This window comes from Homo sapiens, chromosome 22 (genome assembly GCF_000001405.40).
Source record: "Homo sapiens chromosome 22, GRCh38.p14 Primary Assembly".
Classification (NCBI taxonomy): domain Eukaryota; kingdom Metazoa; phylum Chordata; class Mammalia; order Primates; family Hominidae; genus Homo; species Homo sapiens.
In genome coordinates this window covers 29737135-29752934 of record NC_000022.11, presented here as the reverse complement: position 1 = coordinate 29752934, position 15800 = coordinate 29737135, and the positions used below count along the sequence as shown (strand labels likewise).

The 15800-nt window shown below is 54.4% G+C and overlaps 1 protein-coding gene across 3 annotated transcripts in view, besides 3 other annotated features; it reads left to right on the top strand.

Moving 5' to 3' along the window:
• The window catches only part of ZMAT5 (zinc finger matrin-type 5), a 36052-nt gene that overhangs the window by 14073 nt on the left and 6179 nt on the right, over window positions 1–15800 (top strand). For all 3 annotated transcript variants that reach the window (NM_001318129.2, NM_001003692.2, NM_019103.3), the window contains 4 exons: window positions 4364–4517; window positions 10455–10517; window positions 12205–12285; window positions 14494–14605. In NM_001318129.2, the coding sequence (NP_001305058.1) occupies window positions 4391–4517; window positions 10455–10517; window positions 12205–12285; window positions 14494–14605 (383 nt within the window). In that variant the 5' untranslated portion in view covers window positions 4364–4390. The remainder of the gene's footprint in view (window positions 1–4363; window positions 4518–10454; window positions 10518–12204; window positions 12286–14493; window positions 14606–15800) is intronic.
• Window positions 4018–4763: an enhancer, noted in NCBI's record as "H3K4me1 hESC enhancer chr22:30144161-30144906 (GRCh37/hg19 assembly coordinates)". NCBI's record gives its function as "activates a minimal SCP1, AML or CMV promoter by ChIP-STARR-seq in naive H9 embryonic stem cells {active_cell/tissue: H9 hESC(naive)}" and the evidence as "EXISTENCE:reporter gene assay evidence [ECO:0000049][PMID:30033119]".
• Window positions 4764–5511: an enhancer, noted in NCBI's record as "H3K4me1 hESC enhancer chr22:30143413-30144160 (GRCh37/hg19 assembly coordinates)". NCBI's record gives its function as "activates a minimal SCP1, AML or CMV promoter by ChIP-STARR-seq in naive H9 embryonic stem cells {active_cell/tissue: H9 hESC(naive)}" and the evidence as "EXISTENCE:reporter gene assay evidence [ECO:0000049][PMID:30033119]".
• Window positions 14812–15665: an enhancer, noted in NCBI's record as "H3K4me1 hESC enhancer chr22:30133259-30134112 (GRCh37/hg19 assembly coordinates)". NCBI's record gives its function as "activates a minimal SCP1, AML or CMV promoter by ChIP-STARR-seq in primed H9 embryonic stem cells {active_cell/tissue: H9 hESC(primed)}" and the evidence as "EXISTENCE:reporter gene assay evidence [ECO:0000049][PMID:30033119]".

Sequence of the window (15800 nt, the reverse complement as noted above, 5' to 3'; positions counted from 1 at the left end):
GCTTTCCCGTCCCAGAGGGACTGTGCTGCCCGTTGGTCTCCCTGGCCTGACACTGCACATGTGTCTGTGACAGGTAGATAGAAAGCATTGCCGGCTTGGTGCGGTGGCTCTCGACTGTAATCCCAGCACTGCAGGAGGCAGAGGTGGGAGGATCACTTGAGCTCAGGAGTTTGAGACCAACCTGGGCAACATGGCGAGACCAATATTTACATTTTTTAAAAAAGCGTTATTTTGGGCATCTTCTCATCTGATCACTGGATATTAGAACCAGAGAGGCCTTTAGAGATCAACTGGTCCTGCCACTGCAGCTTCCCACATGGGGAAACTGAGGCCCAGAGAGGGCAAGTGGCTGAGTCACAGACTGAGCCACGTGGCAGAGCTGGGACTGGAATGTGGGGTCGTGTTGACCCATCCAGGATGGCCGAACACTTCTCATGTGCTAGATGATGGGTGGGCAGAGGAGGGCATGGGTGGGCAGCCATGGCCCTGAGCTGAGGCTGACAAGGTGATGAAGTGAAGGGAACCATTAGCTGGTTTGCCCCCCATGGAGTGGAGGGGGTGAGAGAGAGGGGGGAAAACATGAACACCCACACATATACACACACATACAGCCCACCAAAGGGGCTTACCATTTGGGTCAGAGTGTGGCTGGGGAGGCAGGCCGAGGAGCGTGTGGTCCAGTTTCCTGGTGGGCTGGTGTTTGGGACAGCTAGCACGGCAGCATGAAGACAGGCTTTCCTGGCAGACCTGAGCCCCAGGTACCCTGAGGCCTGCTCTGCCCTTCCTATGTGTGTGAGCTGGGGCCCCTCATGGCACCTGTCTGGGCCTCAGTTGCCTCATTCATGAATGAGATTATAATCCACACCTCTTGGGGCTTGAAGGGGCTAGCATGGTCCTAGGGTGTAGCTAGTGATTAATAAAGGAAAATTGTCATTATTATGATTTGTTGGAAGGAGACTTTTTTTTTTTGGATGGGGGTCTTGCTGTGTTGTCCAGGCTGGAGTACAATGGCTCAGTCTCAGTTCACTGCAGCCTCTGCCTCCTGGGCTCAAGCCAGCCTCCTGCCTCACTTCCTGAGTAGCTGGGAATACAGGCATGTGCCACCACACTCAGCTGATTTTTGCATTTTTTGTACAGATGGGGTTTCACTCTATTGCCCAGGCTGGTCTTGAACTCCTGGTCTCAAGCAATCGACCCATCTCGGCCTCCCAAAATGCTGGGATTAAGGAGGAGACTTTCATTATGTGATCAGGAGTGGGGACCCTAGAGGCCTGCTACCTGGATTCCAAGCCCAGCGGGGCTCCTTCCTAGCAGTGTGACCTTGGCTAAGTCACTTCATTTCTGGAACCTGAGTGCCCCCATCTAAAAAGGCATAACAGGCCCTCCCCCACAGGTTGTCCTGGGGATTAAATGAGATGATGCATATAGAGCTTTCAGCTTAGTGCCAGCACGTAGTAGGTATTCAATAAACCACTAGCCCTAATAATAGGTAATATTTATTGAGCACTTGCTTAATGCCAGGTATTATCAGCATCATTTTCACCATCTGCATTAGGAAACTTCTCTGTACCACTTCCTGATCAAGCAGCCATTGCCTCATATTCCCACAGTGAACGTAGAGGCCTAGAGACAGGAAGTGACTTGCCCAAGGTCACACAGGCAGCTTTTCAATGCCTGTGTGGTTTTGTCTATCTAAGTAGGCCGCAGAGCCACCGTTCTGTTCCAGTCTCCCAGAGAACCACCCTCCCTGTCCCCTCCCTTCCCCATTACTCTCCAGCGCCAGCAAGCTTCTGGGAGCTTCAAGCTTTCTGAATGGCTTGGTTTAGCACTCGGCCGTTAAACGTTCATCTCTTACAATTTCAATCCAATTCCTATAAGTTTATTGACAAGATGGGGTGTATTAGAGCTGCCAAATTTAATATATCAAGTGTGCGTGTCTGGGACACGGTCCCTCTGCAGTAATGGGAGAAGAGAGGTTTTATATGTTTTCATTTTGAATGACTGTCTGTTCCTGATCCCATTACAGCCCCTGACTTAATGGCTGCTGTCCCTGTCTGCTGCAAGAATGGCTTTCTCCATCAACCTGCTTGGCTGTTGGGACTGTCTCTGTGTCTCTCCCCAGTCTCCTCCTCCTGAGCTGTGTTCCCCCATTGGTCCACTGTGGTGATCAGGTCCTGGGAGTCCAGGGCTTTGGCTGCTAGCCCGGATAGCTACCTTGTGACCTGGGGGAAATCATTTCTCTTCCTCATCTGGGCCTCAGGAACCTTTTCTGTGAAGTGAGGGGTCTGACCACAGGGTGAGCAGTTGGTCTGGGCTCAGCCTTGGCAGATCCCCCTTGGTGGCCCAAAGTGGACCTGTCTGTCCTCCTGTTTTGCAGCACCATACTCATGGACCCAAGGGCTGGCCATGAGAGTCACTGAATTGCCACCCACCTTGGGCTGCAGATCTCCTGGGTCAGGAGTGGTGGCTGTGGTCACCATGGCTGAGGGGTCTTAAGACCCCAAAATGTTTTCATTTCCCTCTGTGACTGGATTCGGACCTGCCACCTGATAATTTAGTGATCTCCTTGGGAAGCTGTCAGCATTCACTGCCTGCGCCCTCTGGCTTCTCTAAGCCTTGAACTGGCTGTGGAAGAGAGGACACCTGGCAATGTAACGTTAGGGGACTGGGTTTGCCTTCTGCTTATCAGCTGTGTGACCTTGGGCAAATCACACTCCCTCTCTGAACCTCAGTTGTCCCAAAGGGAAAATGAGAATTGATACATTTAACAAGTACTTCAATGCCTACTCTGTACTGTGCACTATTTTAGGTGCTGGGGCTCCAGCAGTAAACAAAACACAAACCTGCCCTCATGGGTTTATATTCTCATTGTGGGAGAAAGACAGTAAACATAACAAGTAACTTATTGCATGAAGGGTGTATTAGTCCGTTCTCACATTGCTATAAGGAAATACCCAAGACTGGGTAATTTACAAAGGAAAGAGGTTTAAGTGACTCACAGTTCTGCATGGCTGGGAAGGCCTCAGGAAACTTACAATCATGGCAGAAGGGAAAGGGGAGGCAGGCACCTTCTTCACAAGGCAGCAGGAGAGAGAAGTGCTGAGCAAAGCACGAAGAGCCCCTTATAAAACCATCAGATCCTGTGAGAACTCTTCACTATCATGAGAACAGCATGGGGGAAACCACCCCCATGTCAGTTACCCCCACCTGGTCTCTCCCTGGACACCTGGGGATTATGGGGATTACAATTCGAGATGAGATTTGGGTGGGGATACAAAGCCTCACCATATCAAAGGGTGATACATGCTATGAGGGAAAATAAAGCAGGGAGTGGAGGAAGCTAAGTGGAAGATTCTGCCATCTTGGATAAAGTAGCATTGGAGCAAAGATGGAAGGGGTCAGGAGGGGAAGTGAGGCGGGAGTTTGCAGGAGGGCATACCCCTCCCTGGGGAGCCTTGGGTGCAAAGGCCGGGAGGTGGCCATGTGCCTGGCATGTGTGAGGAGCAAAGGGGAGGCCGGTGTGGCCTATATGATGCAAATGTGGAGGTCAGAGGTATGGTAGGGGATGGGGCGGTGGCTCGTACCTGTAATCCCAGCACTTTGGGGGGCCAAGGCGGGAGGACACTTGAGCCCAGGAGACCAGCCTCTGCAACATAGCGAGACCCCATCTCTACAAAAAAATTGTTTTTTTAAGTTAGGAATGATGACACGCACCTGTAGTCTCAGCTACTTGGGAGACTGAGGTGGGAGGATCACTTGAGCCCAGAAGGTTAAAGCTACAGTAAGCCGTGATCACACCACTGCACTCCACCCTGGGTGACAGAGCGAGACTCTGTCTCAAAAAAATAAAACCCTATGTGGTAGGAGACAAGGGAGGCCAGCCACAGGGTATAAGGTGGCAGTTCAGCCTACTTACATGTTAGAATCACCTGATAGACTTTAAAAACTACCAAACAGCAGCCAGGCACAGTGGCTCATGCCTGTAATCCCAGCACTTTGAGAGGCTGAGACAGGAAGATTGCTTGAACCCAGGAGGTGGGGGCTGCAGTGAGCTGTGTTTGCAACACTGCACTCCAGCCTGGGTGACAGAGCAACACCCTCTCAAGAAAAAACAGTGCCCAGGCCTCACCCACTGAGGTTCTACTTTAACTGGCCTAAGTTGCAGGCTGGGCATCAGAATGGTTAACAGATCCCTCTGGAATGAGGCCTCTTAGGCCATACTCATCAGCTTGACACTCCTAATGGGGCGGGGTGCATATGAGTAAAGCCTGGGCTCAGGCCTGGCCCTCAGGAAGCATTCAGTGGGCTGGTGAGGGATGTGTTTTCTCCAATGGTCTAATCTGAGCTCTTTGTGGCTTCCCAGGCAGCAAAGCACCTGCTCTGAGTGGCCATGGGGAAGCGATACTTCTGTGACTACTGCGACCGCTCCTTCCAGGACAACCTCCACAACCGCAAGAAGCACCTGAACGGGCTGCAGCACCTCAAGGCCAAGAAGGTCTGGTACGACATGTTCCGAGGTGGGTGCCGCTGGCTGGGGGCCAGGCTCCTGGAGCCCTGCTCTCTGATCTTTCTTATCATCAAAGACTCCTGTGGGTCAGTGACAGTCTAGGTCTGGGCTCTTTGAGGATCAAAAGAGAGGGAGGCCTGAGCCACTGGGCCCTCAGAGGAGCAGGCTGGTAGGTGAGCTCTTTCCCCAACAACGCTGACTGAAGGCTCTGTGGACAGGAGGAAGGCCCTAGAAGGAGGTGATGTTTGAGCCAACAGCTAAAATAGGGGAAAGCTAGCCATGCAGTTCTGGGTGGAGGGTGTGAAGAGAAGCAGGCAGCCCTGAGTCCAGCACCAGGGCTCTCGGAGCAGGAGGGAGAGGGTGTGGCTGGGCGGAGCAGGCCAGGGGAGAATGGTAGGGCTCAAGCTGGCTCTGGGGCAGGGATCTTCCAAGCCTGTGGAGGCCATCATAAGCAGGGGGCGGAGGTGGGGGGGTCCCTGTTCCAAGGGCAGAGAGCAGCCTTTGAAGGGCTTTAGCTGCCGTGGCCAGACCTGCCTTGACAGCGCAGACTGCTTCGTGGGGAGCAGTTGGGTGCGGTCAGTGGCAGTTGAATGACTGGCTGCAGGCACGGGTGAATAACCCAGTTGCAGAAGGAAGGCAGGCTCTTCTGGGAAAGGCCTCTCAGAGCAAGAACAATTGGGGTGAATGAGCTAAGGTCGGAAGTGCCTAGCACAGGGCCTGTTTCCCGGGAGGTGCCCAGAGAGGGGAGTTGTGCTGTTGCACGGCTGTCACTGGACATTCACACTGAGGAACAGCCAGGGAGGTTCCAGAGGGTGACTGGCAGGAGCCAGGTTGAGAGATATGGGCACTTGGCGGTGGGGCGAGGGTGGGCCAGGAGCTCCTGGAATGAGCCAGAGTGGGGCCGATGCCCTGTAGGTTGGTGAGCAGGATTCTGGGACAGGGCCTCCGAAGAAGGAACCAAATCCAGCAGCCAAGAAGGGAGGAGAGGTGGAGAGAGAGTTCCCTGGTTGGGGCTAGGTGTGGTGGCTTTCCCCTGTAATCCTAGCACTTTGGGACACTGAGGTGGGAAGATTGTTTGAGCCCAGAAGTTCAAGAGCAGCCTGGGCAGCATTGTGAGACCCCGCCTCAAAAAAGGCCTGAAACTGAGAGTTCACAAACAAGGAATGAGCATGGATCGCATGCCTGCTACATGCTGGTGCTTTTCATAGTTCGTCATTTGCTTTTCTCGACAACTCTCTAGGGCAGTGATTCTCAACTCCGGCTGCAGGTTAGGATCACCTGGAGACCTTTAGGCTAAAACCACTGATTCCCCAACCCCATCCCCTCCCCAGAGGCAGGTTTGGGGACTAGGCATGGTGTTTCTAAAGGCTTCCCAGACTCCGCATTTCACTTGAGGGAGCTGAGGCTCAGAGGTTCAAGTGAGGGGGTGGCCAGGCTGCTCAGCAGGCCAGGCGTGGCTGTGGTTGCAAGGCCACAGGAAAATTCATGGGCAGTGGGGTCTCCTAGCTCCCTAGGAGACTCTAACCCTGGTGTTACGCTAAGGCTCCCTGCTGTGCAAATCCAGTGTGGGCTGTGATCTAGAGGGAGCTGGGCCGAGATCACCTAGTCCCAGATTCTCAGCTGTCAACAGCTGGATGCTGGGATCCAGGGCTGATTGGCAGAGGTCCCTGTGTCACTTATAGAAAAGATGAAGCAGCAGGTGACAGGAGTGCCCCAGGGCTCCTGTGTTCTCAGTGTCCTCACATCCCCAACACATTCAGTCCTTAGAACAGTTCTGTAAGAGGCTGGGCAGGCCAAGCCAGGCATTCCCAGTTACAGGTGGTGACTTCAAAATCCAGAGCAGGCAGGGCATGGTGGCTCACACCTGTAATCCCAGCACTTTGGGAGGCTGAGGTGGGAGGATCGCTTGAGTCCAGGAGTTCAAGACCAGCCTGGGCAACATAGTGAAACCCCATCTCTACTAAAAATAAAAAAATTTGGCCAGACTCCGTGGCTCATGCCTGTAATCCCAGCACTTTGGGAGGTTTGAGGTGGGTGGATCACCTGAGGTCAGGAGTTCAGGACCAGCCTGGTCAACCTGGTGAAACCCTGCCTCTACTAAAAATACAAACATTAGCTGGGCGTGGTGGTGGGTTCCTGTAATCCCAGCTACTTTGGAGGCTAACGCAGGAGAATTGCTTGAACCTGGGAGGTGGAGCTTGCAGTGAACTGAGATCACACCACTGTACTCCAGCCTGGGCAAGAGAGCAAGACTCCATCTCAAAAAAATAAAAACAAAAATAAAAAAATTAGCCAGGCATGGTGGCCCATTCCTGTGGTTCCAGCTGCTCAGGAGGCTGAGGTAGGAGGATCACTTGACCCCAAGAGGTGGAGGCTGCAGTGAGCCGAGATTGCACCACTGCACTCCAGCCTCGGCAACAGAGCGGGACCCTGTCTCAAAAAAAAATAAATAAATGAAATAAAATCCAGGGCAGTGGGTTCCCTCACCTTGGGTCCCCAGCTACCGAGGACCAAGCTGGCACATGACCTCTTTCCACTTCCTCAGGAGGCTGCCCCAGGGCTTCTGCTCACTCTGAGCAACCGCAGGGACTTGCGGATATACCGTGTGAATGAACTCGACTTCAGCTTTGCTCCCAGCTTCTTGGCCTGGGCCACGTCCCCTTAGCCCTCAGAGGGGCTGATGATCCATCCGCCATGGTCAGGTGCAGGGCACCAGTCCCCAGGTGTCACTCACTAACACTGTGGCCCTCATTTTGTCATGTATAAAACAGCTACAACAGTCCCCACCTTCCAGGGCTATGACAGGGGCTCAGTAACCTCATGATGACTGCATGGCACATAAGAGCTTACTAAGTAGGCATGGTGCCTGTGGGTCCTCAGAAGGATTCCCTCCAGCCTTCATCTCATGGGCTCATTCATTCAGCATGTCCGCGGCTCCCAGGCAGGCTCTAAAGATTCAAAGGTGGATAAAATAGGGCCCCTCTGCCTAGCGAGCTTGCGCCCAATTAGAATGGTGTGTTCTGGGCAAAGCCCCTGTCCTGCCCAGGCCTCCATGACCTGCCGGCCTCTCCCTTCCAGCTGCAGCCACCCTGGCCACTGCATCTGCTGGGCATAAGCTGTCCCCTCTGTAGACATGCCCTTCCTGCTGTCCTCCCTGCCCCAAGCCAGGCCCCCCCACCACCTCAGAACTCAAGTCAGGCAGCAAATCCTCAGGGACGTCCTCCCCGACCCCTAGAACGGGTCAGGTCGTTTGGCTACACGCTAGATGTTTACCCCGCTTACATCCATAGGGATTAGTGTGACTGTTGGACCAGAAGGAAGGACCAGCTCCGACTTGTTCTCCACTTAAATCCTCAGCCTGGCGTGGTGCCTGGCACACAGGACATGCTCAGTGAATGTTTGGCAGATGAATGTCTAAGTGATTGAGCAAAGAAACATGAGGCACCAGGGGCAGCTGTTCATCTGGGAGATGAAGCAAGAAGGACCAATAGGATCAGATCATGAGGGGCCTTGAATACCCACTGCAAGAGCATGGGCTTCCTCGTGCAGGGCCTGGGCCAGGGGTTCTCAACCCTGAGTACACTTCAGAGTCACCGAGGAGCTTTAAACAATTCTGATGCCCTCCCTTCCAATGAATTAAAAGAGAACCTGAGAGGGCTGGGGCCGGGTGTCCATGTACTTTAAAAACTGCCTGGTGATTCTGATGTGTGGCTGGGGTCAGGAACCACTAAGCGGACGTGGGCAGCCTGGAATTCTTCTCCCACCCCAAGCCACCTGGCACAGCCCCTTGTATAGGACCCAGGCTCAGTCCCGCCGCCTGCCTCAGTCATCCCAGCCTTGGGGGTCCAGGGCAATGTCCACATGCCCTCCCCTAGTACCCCCCCACCTCAGGGAAAGGCAGGCAGTGGTGTCTGTAGCACCAGCTGGGTACAATGAGTCTGACAAGCCCGGCGCTAACAGATAGACCCTCCCCACCCTGCTGGTCCCCCTGGCATGAGTTCTCTGACAACCAACTCCTTATCCCAGCAGACCACACCCCCCGCCCGCCCCCGCCTCCCACAAGCCACCAGTTGCCCTTGGCAAATCACTTCCCTTGTCTGAACCTCTGTTTTCCCCTCTGCAAAGTGGGGATGTTTGCGCTGTTCAGAGGGTTTGTGAGGAAAAAATGAAGAATTGCTACCATTTGCTGTGTACCCACCCAGTCTTGGCCGTATACCTGGAGAACATGGTGCTAAGGCCACTGCTGGCCCCAGAGGCAAACCTGGTCACTTTCCTAGTGATTCTCATGTACCACCAGAGTTGGGAGCCACGGGCCTCCTCTGCAAAGCACTCTCCATTCATTATCTGATGACATTTTCACAGCAGCCCTGCCAGGTGGGAACTATCCTCCCATTTGACATATGGGGAAACTGAGACTTGGAGTTTATGCAGCTTGCACGTGGTCATATGTTGTTAGGATTTGAGCTCAGGTTTCTTGGACTCTGGAGCCTGTGGTCTTTCCTTGGCCTCTAGAAAAGGTGGTGGGTGAATGTCCAGCCCAGGCCTTGCCTCTCCCCTCCCCTGGGGTGGATATAAGGGTTCCTGAGTCAGGATACCATCCTCAGGTACCCTACTTCCTTACAGATTTTGACTGATTAATAGCTTGCCTATCAAGAAGCAAATTTAAAACCATACCTATATGATGAAAGTAAAGATAGGCTGGGCACAGTGGCTCACGCCTGTAATCCCAGCACTTTGGGAGGCCAAGTGGGGAGGATCGCTTGAGCCCAGGAGTTCGAGACCAGCCTGGGTAACATGGCGAAACCCCATCTCTACAAAAAAATTAAAAAATTAGCCGGGCATGGTGGCGGACGCCTGTAGTCCCAGCTACTCGGGAGGCTGAGGGGGAAGGATCACCTGAGTGCAGAAGGTGGAGGCTGCAGGGAGCTGAGATCATGCCGCTGCACTCCAGCCTGGGTGACAGAGTGAGAACTTGTCTCAAAGAAAGAAAAGAAAAATAGGAAAAATCAGAGGAAACTAGGGTTAAGATTAGGATCAGAGTGATTGCCGATGCTACAGAGTGATTGTCGGAAGTCCTGTCCGCGGCGGTGGCTGGTCTGGCCCTGAGTGCCCTACAGCTGGTGGAAGGAGGGGAGACAGAGGCCAGGGATTGCAGTCTTGCCTGTGGAGCAGTGCCTGGATCCTGGGATTGGCTGGTGGGCTTCCTGGGCACTAGGATTTACTTAAAAATTTTTAGCATTTTATTTTGAAATAATTATAGATTCACAGCAAGTTGCAAAGATAATAATGAGAAGTTCCATAGTGCCAGGATTTTTTTAAAGTATTATACCTCCAGGCTGGGCCCAGTGGCTCACACCTGTATTCCTAGCACTTTTGGAGGCCAAAATGGGAGGATCGTGTGAGCCCAGGAGTTCAAGACCAGCCTGGGCAACATAATGAGACACCAGCTCTACAAAAAGATAAAAAATATTAGCTGGGCATGGTGGTGCACAGCTGTAGTCACACCTAGTTGGGAGGCTGAGACTGGAGAAGGATCACTTGAGCCCAGGAGGTAGTGGCTGCAGTGAGCCATGATTGCACCACTGCACTCCAGCCTGGGTGACAGAGCGAGACCCTGTCTCTAAAAAACAAAAAAACCCAAAGTCCCCAGACTCTCCAGCTGACTCCCTCGTGCCAAGTTGAGAACTGCTGGCATGAAACTTGGTCCTTGTCTTTGGCCCGTCCTGCGTGGGGTGGGATGGATTGAGGTCACCTGCAGCTCGGATCCATCTGCCCAGGACTCCCACCTGTGGTCATCTCCTGCTTCCACTCCTCCGTGGAACAGGAAACTCTTCTTTCTGCACAGCTGTGTCGAGATAAAGGGTCCATATGCCCCTGTGGCTTCCACTTCCTGCCTCCTTTGGTGGAGCCTGAACCATCCGAATCCCGTCCCTCTCTTCTCTCGCAGATGCAGCTGCCATCTTGCTGGATGAGCAGAACAAGCGGCCCTGCAGGAAGTTTCTACTGACAGGTAAAGTCCTCTGCACAGCTCAGGTCCCTGCGGGGACCTGCGATATCCAGCCTGCCCCACTTGGACCTCTGCAGAGTGTCTTCCCCGACCCGGGCCACCATCCCAAGCCCACTTTGCAGCAGTGGCTCCAGCTGACTGGCCAGTCAGGGCCTTCCCAAGTGTGTCTCAGGACCTCCTAGAGTCTGGTCCTCAGCTCTTCAGATCTAGAATGTGATTATATCAGCTCACCTAGAACAAGCAAGGCGTGGGAGATTACATGTAAATCCAAGAGACACTTATGGGTGGAATAGACTTGTTGATTAAGTTAGCCTGGGAACCTGGCCTCCTTCCCAGCAGGCAGAACTTCAGAGAGTAACAGGGTTGATGATCTGAGGAAGTTCAGGATCAGAACCAAGGATGCTAGGTGTAGATTTGACTGCTCAGTACTCAGCTACTAGAGATGCATATAGGTCAGAGAGATAAAGGGCCGAGCATGGTGCCTCACTCTTGTAATCCCAGTACTTTGGGAGGCTGAGGTGGAAGGAATGCTTGAGGCCAGGAGTTTGAGACCAGCCTGGGCAACATAGCGAGACCCCATCTCTACCAAAAAAATTTTTTTTAATTAGCTGGGCATGGTAGCACACACTGGTAGTCCCAGCTACTAGGGAGGTTGAGGCAGGAGGATCACTTGAGCCCAGGAGTTCAAGGCTGCAGTGAGCTATGATTGCACCACTGCACTCCCACCTGGGCAACAGAGTGAGGACCCTGTCTCTTTTAAAAAAAGACAGAGCAAGAGGTAAAACCTCAGTAAGTGAAGGAACCAAAGACAGATACAAATAAGAGTAGGAAAAATAAGATAAAACCAAGAGAATAGTCTCCTCCATGCTTGCCCTTGAGGTCCTATGTATTCTCTAAGGGTTTGGCTCTGAGCTTCCTGGCAGCCATGGCAAAGAGGAAAACTATGATGATTCACATGGTTTGTAAGGGAGCTTAGCACTGGGGAGAGGTGCTGCAGCTGAACTAGGGAAACTGGGTGAATGTCCAAGCTCCCCTAGGATGGGCACCAAGCCTGCAGATCAGGGGCTTCCCTACAGACTTTGCCTTGATGTGAATATGTCACTGGTAGGTTATCCTGGCTTGAGACACCTCCAGCCTCCCAGTATCTCGACATACATTTTGGTCTCCTTGGTTGAAAGAGGGGAAGCCACCCCAGATTTTGGTGCCTCTTTGGCAAAGCTGCCACTGAAGCCTTTCTAAGGAGCAGTCCAATTGCTCCCGTGAGCCAGGTAGGCAGGCAGAATACTAGGCTGGGCATAGCACGTGCTGCGGCTTGGAGTGGAGAAAGGAAGCATTGCCCTTTCAGGAACCCATATGTAGTTCATCGAGGCAGGGCTGGGAGGGCTGGTGACAGAGACAGCCTGCAGAGGCTTGCGAGGCCCAGTCATGACAGGCTTCAGTTGGAAGTGATCCCCAGCATGGGGGGCAGCTGGAGAAGGGTCGTGAGCATGTGGCATGATAGGTGAGAAGTCGCTCTGGCTGCTGAATGGGCAGGGCCGGAGAGATTCCATTTTCTGTCCCGGATCAGGGTTGCTATTCTTTAGGCCCTGAAGTCCTGCCCCTAAGATTCTGGGATCCCTCATCTGGGCACCCCTCAGCCCCTGTGGGGAGCCCCTCCCGAGCAGCGAGTAACTCTGTCTTCCTGCTGCAGGCCAGTGCGACTTTGGCTCCAACTGCAGATTTTCCCACATGTCAGAGCGAGACCTGCAGGAGCTGAGCATCCAGGTGGAGGGTACGTCTCGGGATGCCCTGGGCTAAGCGGGAGTGGGGTGCTGGGGCATGTGGGCTCTGAGACCGGGGAAGCTGGCCTATGCCTCCCTATCTCCCCATCATTGGCAACCAAGGGCCACCCAGGGTGATGCGGAGCCCTGAGCCCCCGGTTTGGGCCAGGTGTTAGGAACAGCTTCAGCATGAGTGGAGAAGGCAGGCCTGTGTCCCCTTACAGTGGAGCCTGTGTGGCTTCCTGCCTGGGAGCCCTGAAGGTGCACCTCAGCCCCACCTGGACCCTGTGGCCAGCCCAGCAGTCATTGGTGGGTACACCCCATCCCTTCCTCAATCAGGCAGCATACCCAGTCCCCACTTGGCACCAAGCAGACCCCTTACGACAGTCTAGGGATAAGGAGTTTAGGAACGCACCTTCCCTGCCCTCTGGAGTCTCACAGCCTGGTGATTCCAGGGAGGGGCAAGTTCAGCTTCCATGGAAACTGACATCTCGCCTTTGGGAAATTCACTCCTCTAGTTAGAGAACAAGGAAGTTCTGACTGAGATGGTGTTTATCAATCTTCTTCCACAGCCTCTCACTGAACAGGTGGGGAAACTAAGGCCAACATTCAGACTGAAAGGCCTCGCGTGAGCCCCCCAGCAGGTTGGGGGCAGACTCCAGGTCTCTCAGTGCCTGCCCCCTTAAGCTTCTCTGTCCAGGAGGCCTCAGGGTAGCCAGTGAAGGTCTGGGGCAGCTTGGCCTTTGCCCTGATCCCCCTACGGGCCTCACTCCCCTCTGACCAGTTAGACACTGCAGGCTCCGTGCCCTGCCCTGGGAGCCAGTGGTGCTGTGGCTGCAGCCCCGGGACCAACACAGGGTTTCCAGGAGCATTTTTCCCCAGGGTGGAAGCAAGGCCTTGTGGGACTGGCCAGCAAGTCCTGGCAGCAGCGGCAGCTGCAGCTCTTCCCTGGCTATGGGCTCTCAGAGGACGGCTGGCCCATGGTGGGACGAGCACGGGGCAGTGGGCCTGGAACTGGAGACGATGCCGAGCGGGGACAGGAATGGGGAGAGGCCCAGGGAGGCTGGGAACAGAGTCCCAGCTGGCAGCTCTGACAGTCCCAGCTCTGCCACGTCCTCTGTAACCTTGGTACGTGGCTTAACCTCTTGGAGGCTGTGTCCTGTCGAATGTGATGTCTCTAAGGATGAAGCAAGATGACACCTGTACAGCCCAGGGCCCGGCCCCAAGTGAGCTCCAGAGACCAGGGCCCGGCCCCGAGTGAGCTCCAGAGACCGAGGCCTGGCCCCGAGTGAGCTCCAGAGACTGGGGCCTGGCTCTGAGTGAGTGCTAGTCAAGTGTATGATTACTTTCCTCTGGCCCAAGACTCCATCCCAGATGACTTGGCGACTCTGACCCCATCAAACGCTCACACCCAGCTTGTATAAATTCCATTCGTTGATTGGTTTTAATTCGTTGAGCAACAGGTTTTGTTGGACAGCTTATGAGAATAAAAACCAGGGAAGCTGAGGCTCATTACCCTGCCCAGGGTCAAAGACCCGGCAGGTGACAGAGCTGAGATGTGACCCCATTCGACTGCCCTCACTGCCTCCCTGCACCTCAGATTCAGACCCCTCCTTAGGGCCAGGCTCTCTCTCTCTTTTTTTTTTTTTGAGATGGAGTTTCACTCTTGCCGCCCAGGTTGGAGTGCAGTGGTGCGATCTTAGCTCACTGCAGCCTCCACCTCCTAGGTTCAAGCGATTCTCCTGCCTCAGTCTCCCAAGTAGCTGGGATTACAGGCACCCACCACCACACATGGCTAATTTTTTTTATTTTTATTTTTAGTAGAGGCAGGGTTTCTCCATGTTGGCCAGGCTGGTTTCAAACTCCTGGACTCAGGTGATCCGCCCGCCTTGGCATCCCAAAGTGCTGGGATTACAGACGTGAGCCACCACGCCTGGCCAGGGCCAGGTTCTCTACAAGCACTGTCCTGTTTCCAGCTCCCCAAGAGCTTGGAGGCAGCCGGGGTTGTCTCTATTTGATGGGAAAACAGAGCGAGGCCGAGTGCTGGGCCCTCGTGCACAGATGGCCTGGAGAAGCAGTCCAGGTGCATCCTCCTGGAAGGTTGCTGCAACTTCCCAGGCTTGCTCAGGGCCTACCAGTTGCTTCTGCTTTGTGAGAGGGTAGGGTTCTGGCAGGCAGGAGTGTACCCCTCACTTGCCTTTGTCTCCCTGTCCCCACAGAGGAGAGGCGAGCCAGGGAGTGGCTACTAGATGCTCCTGAGCTCCCCGAGGGCCATCTGGAGGACTGGCTGGAGAAGAGAGCCAAGCGGCTGAGCTCAGCCCCAAGTAGCAGGTACAGGTCCCCAGGGTTCCCTCCCGCTGTGCCCCCTGGGGGCAAAACCCCAGCCCGCCTTCCCCTTCCTGAGGCTCAGGAATCTCCATGAACTGCCCAGGCCCAGGGGCCGAATAAAGTTGCCTACACATAGCTCCCCGAGGAGCCCTTGGGGCCCCAGGCCCTGGCCAGAGGCTGAGGGGTGTTTGAAAGAGCCTCTCCCAAAGCTGGGCCCCTGTTGGAGTCTGTGCTGGCTGGAGGGGAGGCAGGCGGCAGAGCTGATTTGGCTGCAAGTCACAAGTCCGTTGCCAGAGGGAGGGGCCTGGGCTGTGGTCACCATGCACTGCTGCCCACTGTTGCCTCTAGGGCCTTGCAGAAGGGAAAACAGGGAGGGTGCGACTTGCCCGAGGGCACACAGACGGGAAAATGTAGAGCCGGGATTGCACAGGCGTGATGACGAGGTCCTGGTCCCACTGCCTTTCTAAGGAAGGGGGTCTGGAGATGGCCCCAGCCCTCGGGACGCTCACAAGTAGAAGGGGAGCTGCTGGATCGGGGTCCTTGGGGTGTGTGCTTCGTGATGTCCCTGGTCCTCCTCTTTGAGGGAAGGGCCTCGGGTGATATTCACATCAGAACGGGGCACAGGGCAGGCAGGGGCAGACAAAGGCTGGCGGCCAAAACCGAAGCCTGAGCTCCTGGGCTCTTCCTCCAGCAGTTGAAGGAGGGAGGGGAGGAAAAGGGGATAAAGCTGCGCCCAGGAGCCGCATGCGACTTTGAACACGTTTTCCCATCCCGACTACCTTGCTTTCCCCATCTTGCAACGGGCTTCAGACCTGACTACCTCTGTGGTGTGGCTTCACAAAATGGTGGCCTGGCCTGGGCCAAGGGGACCTGGCCAGATAGTCTGGGGGAAGAGGCCTTCCCTTGGAGCTCTGCCAGGAGGTGAAGGCCAAACTTCTTGCCTTCTCTGTGCTCCAGTGAAAGAGACTATGAGGGTGTTTTTTTTCTTTCTTTCTTTCTTTTTTTGTGATGGAGTCTTGCTGTATTGCCCAGGCTGGAGTGCAGTGGTGTGATCTCAGCTCACTGCAACCTCTGCCTCTGGGTTCAAGCGATTCTTCTGCCTCAGCTTCCCAAGTAGCTGGGATTACAGGCACCCACCATCATACCTGGCTGATTTTTGTATTTTTGTAGAGATGGGGTTTTACCATGTTGGCCAGCC